The sequence below is a fragment of the Homo sapiens genome, chromosome 22, assembly GCF_000001405.40.
Source record: "Homo sapiens chromosome 22, GRCh38.p14 Primary Assembly".
In the NCBI taxonomy this organism is placed as follows: Eukaryota; Metazoa; Chordata; class Mammalia; order Primates; family Hominidae; genus Homo; species Homo sapiens.
The window spans coordinates 48,503,794-48,518,640 of NC_000022.11; the positions used below are offsets into that span (position 1 = coordinate 48,503,794).

The 14,847-nt window shown below is 56.6% G+C and overlaps 1 protein-coding gene across 1 annotated transcript in view, besides 4 other annotated features; it reads left to right on the forward strand.

Moving 5' to 3' along the window:
* Positions 1-14,847, forward strand: part of TAFA5 (TAFA chemokine like family member 5) — a 262,380-nt gene that overhangs the window by 14,241 nt on the left and 233,292 nt on the right. The window lies entirely within an intron of this gene.
* Positions 2,734-3,733: an enhancer, noted in NCBI's record as "H3K4me1 hESC enhancer chr22:48902339-48903338 (GRCh37/hg19 assembly coordinates)". NCBI's record gives its function as "activates a minimal SCP1, AML or CMV promoter by ChIP-STARR-seq in naive H9 embryonic stem cells {active_cell/tissue: H9 hESC(naive)}" and the evidence as "EXISTENCE:reporter gene assay evidence [ECO:0000049][PMID:30033119]".
* Positions 6,840-7,780: an enhancer, noted in NCBI's record as "H3K27ac-H3K4me1 hESC enhancer chr22:48906445-48907385 (GRCh37/hg19 assembly coordinates)". NCBI's record gives its function as "activates a minimal SCP1, AML or CMV promoter by ChIP-STARR-seq in primed H9 embryonic stem cells {active_cell/tissue: H9 hESC(primed)}" and the evidence as "EXISTENCE:reporter gene assay evidence [ECO:0000049][PMID:30033119]".
* Positions 7,781-8,720: an enhancer, noted in NCBI's record as "H3K27ac-H3K4me1 hESC enhancer chr22:48907386-48908325 (GRCh37/hg19 assembly coordinates)". NCBI's record gives its function as "activates a minimal SCP1, AML or CMV promoter by ChIP-STARR-seq in primed H9 embryonic stem cells {active_cell/tissue: H9 hESC(primed)}" and the evidence as "EXISTENCE:reporter gene assay evidence [ECO:0000049][PMID:30033119]".
* Positions 11,537-12,277: an enhancer, noted in NCBI's record as "H3K4me1 hESC enhancer chr22:48911142-48911882 (GRCh37/hg19 assembly coordinates)". NCBI's record gives its function as "activates a minimal SCP1, AML or CMV promoter by ChIP-STARR-seq in naive H9 embryonic stem cells {active_cell/tissue: H9 hESC(naive)}" and the evidence as "EXISTENCE:reporter gene assay evidence [ECO:0000049][PMID:30033119]".

The following is a 14,847-nucleotide window of genomic DNA, read 5'->3' on the forward strand; positions in this document are numbered from 1 at the left end:
ATGGTGATGTTAGATGACACTCGCACCCCCATCAGCTCCTCAGACGTCAGGTGGCTTTTGTCTGTTACACTCTGGGAAGGAGCCCATCCCCACGACACACCAGCACCACAGGACCCCGAGTGTGTGGGGTGCCGAGCCAGCTCAGGATTGTCACCCAGGACCACACACTCACACTCAGGTGGGCTCCATAAGCCAGGCTGGGACCCTGCTCTCTGTATCATGCCTAACCCAGGTTCCACCCCAGAACTCAACACCCAGTTGCTCACTCTTCATTTCTGGTACCAGCGATCGAGTGGGCACTTCTGAGAGACAACAGAGTGAGATTTGGCTCCACCGAGCTTTAGGGGTGCGGGCTGGACTGGAGGCCATCCAGGTGACACTCCCTCGGCTGGCAGAGTGGGCCAGGCCACCTTATCTTGTGGCTCAGAGATAACCCAGGGTGGCGTCCTGGGGGTTTGTTCTCCCAGCACTTTATCTTAGGTGCATGTGTTTCCATGAGATTGGGATAATTCTGTTTAGCAAAGGTCCATTCTTAATCCAGCCGTGCTTAGGGAGCCCTCCCCATGGGGGCGCTGCCCTGCAGCAGAAAGACTTCCGGGGGCTGGGCAGGGGGGCAGCTGGTCTTGGAGAGGGAGTCCTCTGCTCTGGGTGGCTCACACCATCATTTGAAGGAGTCCAATGACATTCTTTTCCTCCTGGGCAGTTGGGCTGGTGAGGCCGTGAGTCCGGGCACCTTGCTGGGGGACGTTTCCCACATGCTGTCAGACTGGCTCAGCTTTATCATTTGGGGGGAAGGACACAGAGCTTCACAGACTCCTGGGGGTGTGCTGAGGCCTGGAGAGGGGGCTCCCTGTTTGGGGCTCACCTGCCCCACAGCCAGCTCTGGCAGGACATGCATGGAAGGCACAAGGCAGTGTTTGGCAGAAAATGAGTCAAGGTTGTTCTGGGAGCTTATCAGAGCAAGTGGCTTTTCCTAGTGTCCTGGGATGGCTCGCCGAATCCCAGAGACCCCTGCAGGCGATTGTGTTAGGATCCTTGCCAGCAGCAGCTGCCAGGGCAGGGTGGGGCAGAGGGGCTGCAGGGTCCAGCCTTGGGGGGCTCAGGGACCTGCCACACACCCCACCCTGCCCTGAGCCTCCTCTGACCTCTGAGGTATGGCTATCCCTGCTCAGGCCCACTGTGGATGGGCACTCCTCCCTGCCTGCCAGCCACACTGGAGCCCGGGACACTGTCTAGGTGAAGTAGGTCAGTGTCTCCAGGCATTCGGGCACCCATCTCTCAGGAGGGACCTGCTGAATGGCCTGTCTACCTGCCACTTGCTGTGGGGCCTCCTGGGAGATACTTTGGGGGATTTCTCAGGTCAGAGGAGAAGCTTGCCTTAGTCCTGTCTGCTCTTCACATGAAACTCTCACGACTCCATCTCCGTGACAAGTCACAACTTCCATCTGTGGAGGGGTCACCCTGCGTGGCCCCACGCTGGCTTAGCTGTTGGCCTTTGGTATTGAACCGGGGGCGTCTGGAGTGCCCTGAGGCTCAGGGATCCATCATCTACACAAAAGTCCATGGCCACTGCTGGGTGCAGGTAGGTATCTGCACCCCAGAGGCAGGCTTCATGGGCCCCCTTTTACAGAAGAAGATACAGAGGGTCTCAGAGGACCACAGTGGCTCTGTCTTACCTGAGTGTGCCAGGCCTGGGATTTGAACATGTGATCTCCTCTGCTCTGAATCTTGCCATTAAAAGGCCTACTGCCCCAAGGGGGGCTGTGGAGCTGCATGGCCAGCGGGGCACTGCCATCAGCCTACAGCTTTGTCCACCTGTGGACCAGTGGGGAGCATCCACCAAGAAGGCATCCCAGGCCACACTTGCAGTCGGCATCTCTGTCTGCAGTGAGCGTCACCCGAAGCATGCCCTGTGCATCTCTGTCCCCATCCTGGTGGGCCAGCATCCCTGAGACCACCCTCAGGCTTGAAGATTTTCTGGAAAAACTTACAGGGCTCAGAAAAGCTGTTACACTCATGGTTTTGGCTCATTACTATGAAAGGACACAGATTACAATCTGCAAAGGGAAAGGGCTCCTGTGGACAAGTCCATAAACCAGCTGGGGCATAAACTGGTCAGGCTGGCACGGCGTGGTCCAAGGCCTCGGACCTACAGAGACACTCTAATGGGACAGGACATTCCAGGGTCTCAGAACTCACTCCCAGGAGCCAGCCTAGGGCCAGCCCTGAAGATAACCCTTTCTTGGGAGCAGGTTTGTGCACCCCAGGCCAGCTGAGGTCGCCCTTCCCTGCACACCCCACGGGGCTGTCCCTATCTCACTCCCTGTCTCCAGGGTGCAGCATGTGCCCCTGGGCTGCTGGCCTCGCCTGGCCCCTCCTCCTGCAGCCCCGCACTTGTTCACCCCTGGTCTCCATGACCTTTCATGACTTGACCTTGCATGGAGGGAAGGCCCATGGCTGCTCTTTCAGCACAATCCGTGCAGCCTTAGAGAAGAAAACCTTTTCCCAGCCGGGAACATGGGGTCCAGAACCCTTCCTGCAGCCTTGTGCTCCATGGGGGAACATGGGCACCTCCAGAATCCTTTCCGAAGGGCCCAGCTTCGGGGAGGAGCTTTGTGTGTGTTTCCTTTGGGGTTCTAATGTTCTGCTAGACTAGTGTGACAAAAACGCGGCATGTCCAGGGTGTAGGGCTCTTCCCGGCAGTGGATCGTCTATCTGAGACCACAGGGGTGACAGGCGGGGCCTTTGGAGGATAGGAGCTGGCTTCGTGTGTCTGTGCCACCGTTCCGTAGCTATGGCCTCAGGCAGGGCCCCCTGCCAGCCTGTCCTCACCTGTGCTACCAGGATGGCCAAGGCTGCCCTGCCGGGTGCTGATGAGAATGAAGAGGGACCTCAGGGCCTGGGACGCCACTGCGCTCAGGGCACACGGCAAATGGACCACGGCCTTTCCTTAGCAGTGACCTCTTCCGGCCATGGCAGGCGGGGGTCCCCAACCACCAGGATGGTGCAGGAGGCCTCCTGCCACACAGACCTAGGATGACACCAAATTCATCAACATCCCTGGCACACAGGCAGGGCTGGGAGGGCTGGACACGTCAGCATGGGACATGCTGCTGGATTTCATTCCACAGGTGATTTGGAGCCTGCAGAAGGCATCCCCTCCAGCCCACAGCAGAGGGGGGACTGGGCACCGAGTGGCATGGGGAGAACCCCGTGGCTGAGCCTTGCCGAGCAAGGGGACAGCCGCCAAGAGCCAGGTGTGCAGTTGGAGAAGGAGATGGTCATCAAGGGCCAGGTATGCAGTTGGAGGAGAAGGAGGTGGCCGCCAAGGGCCAGGTGTGCAGTAGGAAGAGAAGGAGGTGGCCGCAAAGGGCCAGGTGTGTAGTTGGAGAAGGAGACGGCCGCCAAGGGCCAGGTGTGCAGTTGGAGGAGAAGGAGACAGTCATCAAGGGCCAGGTGTGCAGTTGGAGGAGAAGGAGACAGTCATCAAGGGCCAGGTGTGCAGTTGGAGGAGTGGCCGGCCGGTCAGGCTGGGGCCAAGTCACTGAGGCAGGGGTGGGGCTTGTTGGGAGGGCATGAGTTGAAGCCCTGGTCCTTCCAGAGAGGCTCCTGTGAACCCCCAACCCGGAGCCCTGGGGGGCTGAGAAGTCCTTGGAAAATCGCCAGACGTGGTGGCGTCTGCCTGGGACTTGATTTCTCTGAAGGAGCAGCCCTGAGGAATCTTCTGGAATGTGCTCAGTGGTTTGCCAGCCCCTTTTGCCCAGCACGCCTCCCCAGAGTTGCTTCCGTGGCATCCAGGGTTGTCTTTGGCCCCAGAAAGGGCCTGTTTCCCCATGGGGCCTCATTCAGAGCCAGGATGTGCGCTTGGCCTGCGGAAGAGAGGGTGGACTTTGTCCTAAGGTAGAAGAGGGAGAGCGGGCTGGAAACACTCCAGGTGGTCGACCGGGACTGCCCCTAGGGGTCAGTGTGAGGGTGGCCGTGTGAGGAGCCCCTGCCTGGGAGCTGTCGGGATGGACAGCGCCCCCTCCCCAAGGCCAGCGCTAGGTGTTTGAGGAGCTCCGTGGGCCAGGAAGCTGGGGGTTCCCTTTTGGGCATCCCCAGCACGAGGCCCATCTGCAGCCCTGGCCTGGCCCACACCAGCTGCTGGGCCTCAGTGTCCTCATCTGTGCAGTGGGGAGAACCATCGCCCAGCCCCTAGAGCCGCCCGCATGCAGGGAGGGGTTGTTGGGCAGTGGGGAGAACTGTCACTCGGCCCCTAGAGCCGCCCGCTTGCAGAGAGGGGTTGCTGGGTGCTGGTGCAACCCTGAGGCAGAGCCAGTACGTGGACAGCCCTGATGCGTGGGCCACTGTTTCTCTCTCAGGGAGGTGACTGTCTGTGTGGGGGCTGCACTGTTCAGCTCGAGGCTGCACCTCACAGAAGCCATGGGCAGCCGGCAGCTTTATCCCAGCTTTGCAGGAGACAGGCTGGGAGAGGTAGGTGCTGACCCAGGGTAGGCTAGAGAGTAGGCGGGGGTGCAGCCAGTCCCCTCCAGGGCTGCCGCCCCCCCAGAGCTGGCCAATGTGGCTACCCCAGGTCACAGCTCCCGGCTGTGCCTGCAAAGTGTTGGGAGTTTGGAAGTAAGAAAAGGAACAGGGTGTGCCCAGGTGAGGGGGTTTCCCTCCAGAATGAACGGCGCCATATGAGGAGGAGGAGAGAAGGCGGTGGGCGCCCTGAGGCTGCTGCAGCCACTTGGTGTCCCAGAGCCACGTATGGGGCCCTGGAGACAGCCTGAGTGGGGACACCTGGGTGCCTGTTGCATCCTCATGGGTCCCAGGACTCAACCCAAGCGTTCCCTGTAACAACCTAACTGCAGTTGCCCCACAGCTGATATTTTTCTCTTTTTGTTTTTAGTTGGCGTAAAATAATGGTACATATTTATAGGTGCAGTGTGATATTTCAACACATATATACAAACAATGTGTGGTGATCAAATCAGAGTAGTCTGCACACCCATCGCCTCAACATTGATCATTTCTCTGTGTTGGGAACGCTCAAGATCCTCTCTTCCAGGTTTCTTAACATCTGCAGTATATTACTCTTAGCTGTGGTCGCCCTACTGTGCATAGAGTGCCACAGCTGATTTCTCCTGTTTAGCTGTAACTTGGTGTCCACTAGCCAACCTCTCCCTAGCCTCCTCCCCTCTCCAGCCTCTAATAACCATAATTCTCCTCTCTATTTCTATGAGCTCAGTATTTTTTAGCTCTTACGTATGAATGAGAACAGGAGGTATTTATCTTTCTGTGCCTAACTTGTTTCACTTAACACAATGCCCTCCGGAGTCATGCCTGCAGCTGCGAATGACAGGATCTCATCCTTCTTTACGGCTGAATACTACTCCAGTGTGTGTGTGGCACCTTTTCTCTATCCAGGCGCCTGCTGATGGACACTTAGGCTGATTCTGCGTCGTGGCTCTTGTGAGTGGTCCTGCAGGAAACATGAGGCTGAGGCTGCCCTTTTCACGTGCTGCTTTCCTTTCCTTTGGATAAATACCCAGTAGTGGGATTGCTAGATGAGGGCGTAGGTGCTATTTTTATTTTTTTGAGACATCTCCGTACTGTTGTCCACAACGGCTGTACTGATTTACATTCCCACCGATAGTGTATACGGCTTCCCTTTTCTCTGAATCCTTGCCAGCATTTGTTTGTGTGTTTGCCTTTTGTCTTATTGATAATCATTATTCTAACTGGGTGAGTTGGTATCTCATTGTGGTTTTGATTTGCATTTCTCTGGTGATTAGTGATGTGGGGCCTTTTAACATCCATTTGGGGAAAGGACACCCTCTTCAACAAATGATGCCAGAAAACTGGACGTCCACATGCAAAAGAATGAAACTAGAGGCCCAGCGCAATGGCTCACGCCTGTAATCCCAGCACTTTGGGAGGCTGAGGCGGGCGGATCACGAGGTCAGAAGATCGAGACCATCCTGGCTAACATGGTGAAACCCCGTCTCTACTAAAAGTACAAAAAATTAGCCGGGCACAGTGGCGGGCGCCTGTAGTCCCAGCTACTTGGGAGGCTGAGGCAGGAGAATGGCGTGAACCCGGGAGGCGGAGCTTGCAGTGAGCTGAGATCACGCCACTGCACTCCAGCCTGGGTGACAGAGTGAGAATCTGTCTCAAAAAAAAAAAAAAAGAAAAAGAAAAAGAAAAAAGAAAAAAAGAAAGACTGAAACTAGAGCCCTGTCTCTCACATTATAAAGAAACCACTCAGAATGGATTAAAGACATAAATGGAATACCCGAAACTATGAAACTGCTAGAAGAAAACGTACCTGAAATGCTTCGGGACATTGGTCTGCACAAAGGTTTTATGGGGAAGACTCTTCAAAAGCACAGTCAACAAAAGCAATAACAGACAATTGGGATTACACCAAACTCAAAAGCTTCTGCACAGCAAAGGGAACAGTCAGCAAGGTGAAGAAGACACCTGTGGAATGGGCGAGAATATTTGCGGGTTCTTCCTCCAAGGGACTAATATCCAGAATATATTCATACAAGGAACTCAACTCAACAGCAAAAAAACCCCCAAATAATCTCATTAAAAGTAGACAAAAGATATGAATAGATATTTCTCAAAAGAAGACATCCAGATGTTCACCATGGCTCTTTGGTTGATGTTCGGTGTTCATTGTTTTGGAAAACAGACTGGCTATTAGTGATTATAGCTGCGAGAAGGAAATGTGAGTGCAAACCTTCATTCTGTAATAATAAACTTCAGATTTGAGAGAAAAGAACAGGATGGATGTCCACTGAACTGCTTGTAGGGCAATGCTGTATTCTGGGGTGGGGGAACCTGGCTGTGTCATTGAGCAGAGAGCAGCCCCTGAGAAATTTGGCTTGAAGGCCTCCTCCTCCTCCAGGATGCTCCCCTGGCTTCCCTCCCCCATGCTCCCTGTGCTCTGAGCTCCCTGGCTTCAGGAACAACATCAAGGAAGAGGTGGATTTGGATGTGTATGGACTCTGAGGCCTGCGTTCCTGCTGTTTCCTGACCTTGCCCAGGCAGGCAGCCATGCGCATTGCAGGCATTTGATAGACTTCCTTCCCACACTCAAAAGCACTTGAGGACTTAAAGAAATGGGTTTTAGTTGTTTGCAAAAGTCCATCTTTGGAAGATTTCTCACCCCTTCCTTGACATGAGGGAGGGAGGGGCTGGGCACCCCATGTGCCTGGCCCACATGGATATTGCTGTCATCTGTTATGGGGACATGCTCACCTGGTGACTCCAAGCAGTTTTAGGGTCAACCAGGACATTGCATGACCCAGAACTGGTCTCTGCTGGGAAGTGGGGAGACTCAGGAAGCAGGGACAGCCCTGGAGGAGGCCGCTGGGGATCCCAGACCCCAATGACTCCCCTGTCGCTTCTTCTTCATGTGTGGACAGGAGAGAGAAGCCCAGGCCCTGGTCACCACCTGCCAGCAGAGAAGTCCAACCAGTCTGGAATCCCACAGGAAAAGCCACCTTCTCGGGCTGGCCTCTTTTGTCTCCTGCTCCTTGGCAAACTGGGTCAGGTGGCTGACGCTTCCCAGAGCTTCCTCCTCCTCCTCCTCCTCCTCACTGTCTCCTGGGGCTGTGCGTCTGCAGGGAGAAGCGTGATGTGGCTCCCAGGGGGAGGGGAGGCTGCTTATAAGGACAGGAGCACATTCCTGTTGTTGGAAAATGTCCTTCAGTCAGCGCCACACTGCAGGTCTGCAGAAAGCCATTTCTCAGTTTCCATTGCACAAGAGGCCCTCGCCCAGGTCAAGACAAAACTCTGTGTTTTCTCCAACAGACAGAGGCGTCTGCTGTGCAAAGCCGCATTCGTTCTGCAAGGCCCAACCCCTGAGCTCCTAGAAAGGCATTCTCCATTCTCAAGGTTGTCACCCGGCCCGGCACACACAGGCCCTGACGCAGGCCCATCTCTCCAGGTATCGGAAATGAAGCATCACCTGTGGAACCTTACAAGACGGTGCTGACAGTTTCTTCCCGCACTGGGAGAGCCACGGGGCAACTGCCCGCTTGTGCCTGGTGCGTCCCCCGAAGCCGAGGCTGATGTCTGGTCTTGAGCAGTCAGGCGGGCTCCCGGAAAGGGCTACAGATGCGGAACGGGGCTTGCTGTGGGGAACGGTGCGCTCACTCACTCCTCACCATTGCTAGGCTGAGGCCGGTGGCCAAGGTTGGAGCCCCATGGCACAGAGCTGCAGGGAGGGCCACCAGAAGCTGATGGCCACGGTTCAGGCGGGGATTTGGGGAAAGTGTCAAGGGGCCCTCGCCACCCGATTCCGTGTGTGCCTGGTCTGGTAGACCAGGCTGCAAGGTGACTGAGCCCCTGTGGTGGACCAGGCTGCAAGGGGACTGAGCCCCTGCAGGCTGCCTGGTGGGAGGAGGTGGAGGAGATGCCCTGCTGACAGTGGGGCTGGCCCCTTCGCTGCCTCTCGCTGCGCGGCCACAGTGCAGAAAGGAAAGGATCATCTTCTGCTCCGCTCAAGGAGAGGTGGAATTTTAAAGAGAATAACTGGCCGGGAGCAGTGGCTCACGCCTGTAATCCCAGCACTTTGGGAGGCGACGGTGGGCAGATCGCTTGAGGTCAGGAGTTCGAGACCAGCCTGGCCAACATGGTGAAACCCTGTCTCTACTAAAAATACAAAAAATTAGCCGGGTGCAGTGGTGGGCACCTGTCATCCCAGCTACTCGGGAGGCTGAGGCAAGAGAGTGGCTTGAACCTGGGAGACAGAGGTTGCAGTGAGCTGAGATCACACCACTGGCTGAGATCACACCACTGCACTCCAGCCTGGGTGATAGAGCGAGACTTTGTCTCAAAAGAGAGAGACGGCCGGGCGCGGTGGCTCATGCCTGTAATCCTAGCACTTTGGGAGGCCGAGGCGGGTGGATCACGAGGTCAGGAGATCGAGACCATCCTGGCTAACACAGTGAAGCCACGTCTCTACTAAAAATACAAAAAAAAATTACCCGGGGGTGGTGGCGAGCGCCTTTAGTCCCAGCTACTTGGGAGGCTGAGGCAGGAGAATGGTGTGAACCTGGGAGGAGGAGCTTGCAGTGAGCCGAGATTGTGCCACTGCAGTCCAGCCTGGGCGACAGAGCGAGACTCTGTCTCAAAAAAAAAAAAAAAAAAAAAAGAGAGAGAGAGAGAGACTAACTGAAAAGAAGAGGAAAGTAACAACATTTGAAATAAGGATGGTACCAAACCTAGACTGGTTTGTGGTGGGGGGAGTGTGCTGTACACGTGTGATCACTCTGACACAGCCACTCTGGGGTGCGTTTCTTCCCAGGCACAGGCCTGTTTATGTGCAGAGGGTTTCCTGGAGGAAGGAAAGGGTTTGGGACCCTCGGTAACCCTAAAGTTGTCAACCCACCCTACACCGTCTACAGGAAGTCCTCACTCCGCATTGGTGATAAGAGCTGGAAACTGCAAATTTCAGGAAAATGACAGACAGCAGGTCCTGGAGTAACATTGCTTCCTTCGACTGTGTTTTCTTGTAACATCGAAGCGTTTTGTTACAGGCCGTTTTGCTTCAAGCCTCAGTTTCCAAGACCCTCAGGTCCACATGAAGGGAGGGCTCATCGCATGTGCAGAGTTGAGTGCAGCTCCTTCCTGTCACTCAGAGGCCTTCTGTCATGGGCGGCTCTAAGAGCCCCCCCAATAGAAGGACAGACTGGCGATTCCTGGGTGCCACCCCATGCCGGCTTCTAACTGCAGTGTGACCAGACCCATTTCAAGCTCCAGGACCCGGAGGCTTCCCAAGGCTGAAGTCAGCCCAGTGCTCTGAGCGAGACATGGCTAAGAGAAGCTGAGCACCTGGGCAGGCCTGTGCGGCCCCAGAGCCCGCGTCTGCCCTGTGGTTCTGACAGGGCCCTGGCCTTGGGCAGTCTGCAGGAGGAGGAGGTGCCGTGCCTTGCTCTGCTCCATGGGGGCAGTCCCAGTGAGGGCCACTTTGGTCTCCTCGGTGACTCACAGAGACCACCTCATCTGTCTGCCCACTCCCACAGTGCTGGTCCCCAGGGCTGAAGTTGGCAGCCCTGTCTGGGCGCTGTGGGGGCCAAGAAGAGGGCTTGGCCTGGTGTTCTCAGCTTGGATGAGGGCTCTCAGCTACCCAGCAGGGCAGGAGGAAAGGGGGATGATCCAGTCCTCAGAAGACCCTTCCTCCTGCCCTTCCCTTTCCTGTCACTTCCCTCTGAGATCTCAGCCTCTGCAGGTCTCTCGGGGGTGTAGACTCCCCGTCTTGGGGCCAAGCACTTCGAGGCTGTGAGAAAGAAGCTCAGTGCCTGGAAGGAGGTCAAGGCTAGTGTCAGGGCCCTTGGCTGCACCCCAGGCCCGGCCGCGGAGTTGCCGCTGCATATATGAGTGGGCTCGGGATGAAATGAATGCATGCTTCTCAGAAATTCTAGATGAGAAAATTTCCATCTCAATTAATGTAAAATAAGTTTTGGGAGGTGGTGGTAGGCATTGGAAAATTAAATGACACCTTCTTGGCATCTCACGTTGGTGAGAAGGCCAACCGATTATTTTTATATTACAATCCCCAGGCGTTGTCAAATTGATTAATAAATTCATTGAAAACCTGTTCCTTCTTCATAGATTTAATTTTGGTAGCCAGGGAATAACTTCGCCATGACTTTTGAGTCTCAGCTCTCTCTGTCTGACAGCCAACATGGGGTTAATTGAGGTGGCCGCGGCTCCTGGCCCTCCAGAACTTGGGCCACATCTCTGAGGACATGGTCTTTAGTGTCCTGAGGAAACCGAGAACCGCCCTGCAGACCCTGCCCAGGGAGCTTATAAGCCGGGCAGCATGGAGAGCCTGGGGGTCAGTCCCCCACTCATGCCAGCCAGGTGACTTGTCCCGGTGGAGACCCACCGTCCTAGACTACAGGGAACTCTGAAAATTGAGCACAAAACATAGCTCTGAGCTTCCTGGCAGAGAAGGCAAAAAGGGAAAATCCACTGGTCATGTGACCTTCCTTTTCTATTCATGTCTGGCAGCATCTGGGAATGTTGACGTGGTACTAATGGGGCTGTTGCTCTGGGCTGACACCAGGGTGGGTGGCGTTTCCACAAATCATCTCTGATCTCCAAACCATACAGGGTAAGCACTGCCATCTCCATTTTGGGGGTGAAAACACAGAGGTCCAAAGTTGGACATGGCACGGGCCTCCCAGCCAGCAAGTGGCTGAACCTCATTTAGGAATCGTTCCATGGAAAGGAGCAGAGACTCAGATAAGCAGGTGCAGAGCTGGCGAATGCAGGAGCCCAGGCTTGCGCAGGCAGCGTCCTCTCAGCAGTGGGTGAAGAACCTCATTTAGGAATCGTTCCATGGAAAGGAGCAGAGACTCAGATAAGCAGGTGCAGAGCTGGCGAATGCAGGAGCCCAGGCTTGCACAGGCAGCGTCCTCTCAGCAGTGGGTGAAGAACCTCAGTTAGGAATTATTCCCTGGAAAGGAGCAGAGACTCAGATAAGCAGGTGCAGAGCTGGCAAATGCTGGAGCCCAGGGCTTGCGCAGGCAGCGTCCTCTCAGCAGTGGGCTTCTGCAGGCAGGCGGATCACCTGATCGCAGCTGTCTGTCCGCTGTCCTGCCTGACCCCTGACCCCTGCAGGGGACCCTTCTCCTGGGTCACCTTCACGGCACCCCTCTCCTTCAGTGCCTTGACCTCAGACCACAGGGACCTCAACTCCTCCATCCACCCTGGCCTCCTTTCCCCTTCTCCAGTTCCTCTCCTGCCTTCCCATCTGCTCGTCTGCTCTCCCTTGATGCTCCTTTCCTCAGGGACCTCTCTTTTCACAGTGACCCCTGACCTTCTAGTTGCCCAATTCCAAGGGCACCCCTGAGGCCTCATTGCACCCGGCCCTGCTGCATCCAATGCCCAATGCAAGCGGGAGGCCCCCGGCTCCAGGCGGGACGGGGAGTGTGGAGGGCACCGCCCCAGAGGAAGGGACAGTGCGGGGACTTGGGGACAGTGGGCAAGGCCGCTGAAGCCACACCTCAGAACAGGAACTGGCATTGGCCAGGGGATGGGGGTCTCTGTGGGCTCCTCCTCTCCAGGCCCACTGCTGGCTCCCCCAGGGGTCTCCATCAGTCTCGGTGGGCAGGTGTCGTTCCTCCAGGTGGGCTGAACTCAGAGACCCCCACCCTACCCAGGGAAAGGCAACCCGGGCAGCCACCCTCCCCACCCCAGCCTCACTCCCTGTGCGCCGCCTTCACCGCCGCTCAGCACCCGCCGGCCTTGACCTCACCCAATGGCAGGTTGAGGAGAAACAGACTTGGTGAAATAAGGCCTCAGCACAGCTTTCTGATTGGCCCGGCAACGCACTTGCCATTAACTTTATGACGCGCTACCCAAAGACTAATTAAACCAGATGGCGGCGAAACCCACGTGGAGGCGCCGAGACATTTTTACGTTTAAGTTGATCAGAATTAGGTGGAACGGCATATGCTTGTGGAGATTGGGAATTTTTTAACTACATATTAACGGCTTTTCTTAATACTCTTCCTGGTGATCTCAGCACAATCCACCCCCTTTGTGCCATTTAATTCCTGCGATTCCCATTCCCCTGTCACCGAGACCTCGGGGCCGCGTGGTTTTGGTGTAATTTAAGTGAGTGGAATATTCAGTGCAGACATCATCACCATCGTCTGTGACATTCGCTGCTGAACGAAATGGGGGCCCGCCCCCAACTCTCGGCAGGAGCTGGTGGGCCTTTTCCCTGTTGCAGCCTGGGAACGCCTTGGAGAAGGCCATACCCACGGCAAGGTGAGTGCAGCTCTGAACGTTGCAGGGTGAAGCCAGTCTGCACAGGACGTCTCTACTGGCCTCTGCTTCATGTCCCATTGTGTCTGGGCTCGGGTCATGTGGCTCAGGACAGGGGTGGCCCTTCATGAAATCCCCCAAATTTAGATGGAGGAGAAGCCACCGCCACGAAGGCAAGTGCCTTCCAGGAGGTTGGTGGCCGCAGCCCCCAGCCAGGCCAGTGCTGACCCACCTCCGGGACACTGCATGTGGCCCTCACAGTTGTGCCAGGCAGTGCTTGATGGGGAGGGGCTGTGGGGATGTGCACGACCCCATCCAGGTCCTGCTCTCAGAGGGGTCTGGCTGCCCTTACAGACTTTCAAACATCTTATGTATTTATTTTTCGCATAGTTAAAATTCACATAACAAAATCAACCCTGTTGAAGATTGCATTCTGCTGGCATCTAGTGCAGCCACCATGCTGTACAACCCCACAGTAGCCGAGTTCTCGTTTCCGTCACCCCACAAAAAGCCCCGTGCCTATGAAGCAATCCCTCCCTCTGCAGCCATTCTCCCAGCCCCGGAAGCTCCTGCTCTCCCAGACCTTCAGAAGCAAAGGCTGCAGAGGCCTTTCCAGACTGGGCACTCGGACGTCCACCTGAGGTCCTCTCTCTCCTGCCCCCAGCAGGGAAGCCAAAGCAACTGCTACAGGGCCCAGCTGGCACAGACTCCAGGCCCAGCCAGCACCAGCAGTTGCTCAGCATGCCCCATTCTCCCCAGGTCCCAGGTCCTGGGTCCCTGACTTCAGAGGGTCCTGGCCACTGGGACGGCTGGCAGATGCAAGATGGGAAGCAGCCCTGACCCCCACCACCTCCTCCTGGGACACGCCCATGCCCTGCCTCTGCTATCCTTCCTCAGCTGCCTGAGGGCTGGCTGGTGTGAGCCCAGGCTCCTGTAGGGTATGCCAGGAGCAAGCTGTGACCTGGCCCCGGGCTGTGGAGCCCATGCTACTCTCCACTGAGGATCCTGGGCTGCTCTGTCCCGCGTACGGGCATCCGGGTTCTGATAGCCCGCCGGGCCCTGGGCCACCAGAGGCCTTGAATTGCGTCCTGGTGACAGTCAGCCCCTTGCATGGGGCACGCACAGACCTGGGCCTAGGCTGGGGCACCGAGATCCCCACATCCAGCAGCCGCGGTGAGGCTGGCCTGCCTGCTTCCCGGGGCCACCTCTGCCGTGCCGTCTCCTCCCTCTCCCCTGCCCCCTCTGTTGGTTGCTCCTCCCCCGCCCTCTCTGGGCAGGCACGGCCGGGTGGGGGTGAGGTTCTGGCAAAGCCCCCTCTGTTTTCCAGCCCAGTGGCGCTCACATGTGACGGTGCGGGGGCAGCCTCGTGAAAAGCCCCTTTGTGTCTCCTCCCTAATTAAGAAATAGCAGCAGGCTCCGGGGGCCCAGGCCCCACGTCCTCTCTGAACGCTGGCCGTGGTCACAGGCGGCTGGATGGGCAGGCCTAGCAGTGGACTTCAAGGAAGAATCCCCCAGGCCCACCAGGCAGCCCTGCTGCTTTCCGGGGGCTCCTCTCACATTGTCAGGCCACCCGGTAGGTCTGGGAGGCTTTCTCCACCCTCGGGTCCCAGGAGCTGAGATGGTACCCGCAGGAGCCCACGTGGGATCTGGGTGTCTGGACCTGGGGTTTCAGACCTGATTCTCCCTCCTGTTCTGTGGGGCCTCCCTGAGGCTCAGCCCTCCCCTCTGTGAAATGGGGAGAATAAGGCGCTCTGCCCCCCAGAATCCACATTCAGAGAGCTAGAAGTCCTTCCAGGCCTGGACAAAGAGGTGCCCGTCCTCCCCAAACCAAGGCAGAGGGACATCTGAGAGGGTGTCCTGAGTCCACCTCCCCCTGTCCCACCTGGGATGTCCGTCTGTGTCTCCTCCGCATAGCTGCCCATGCCCTCAGGAAAACGAGGGCTCTTGTCTCTTTTCCAGAACCCCAGATTCTGAGGCAAAGGCTCGGAAAGAACCCACAGTTCTCACGGCATTATTGTCACTGAGCGGGTCTTACCCTCCAGCCTGGGAGGCGGACTCTCTCAGAGCAGG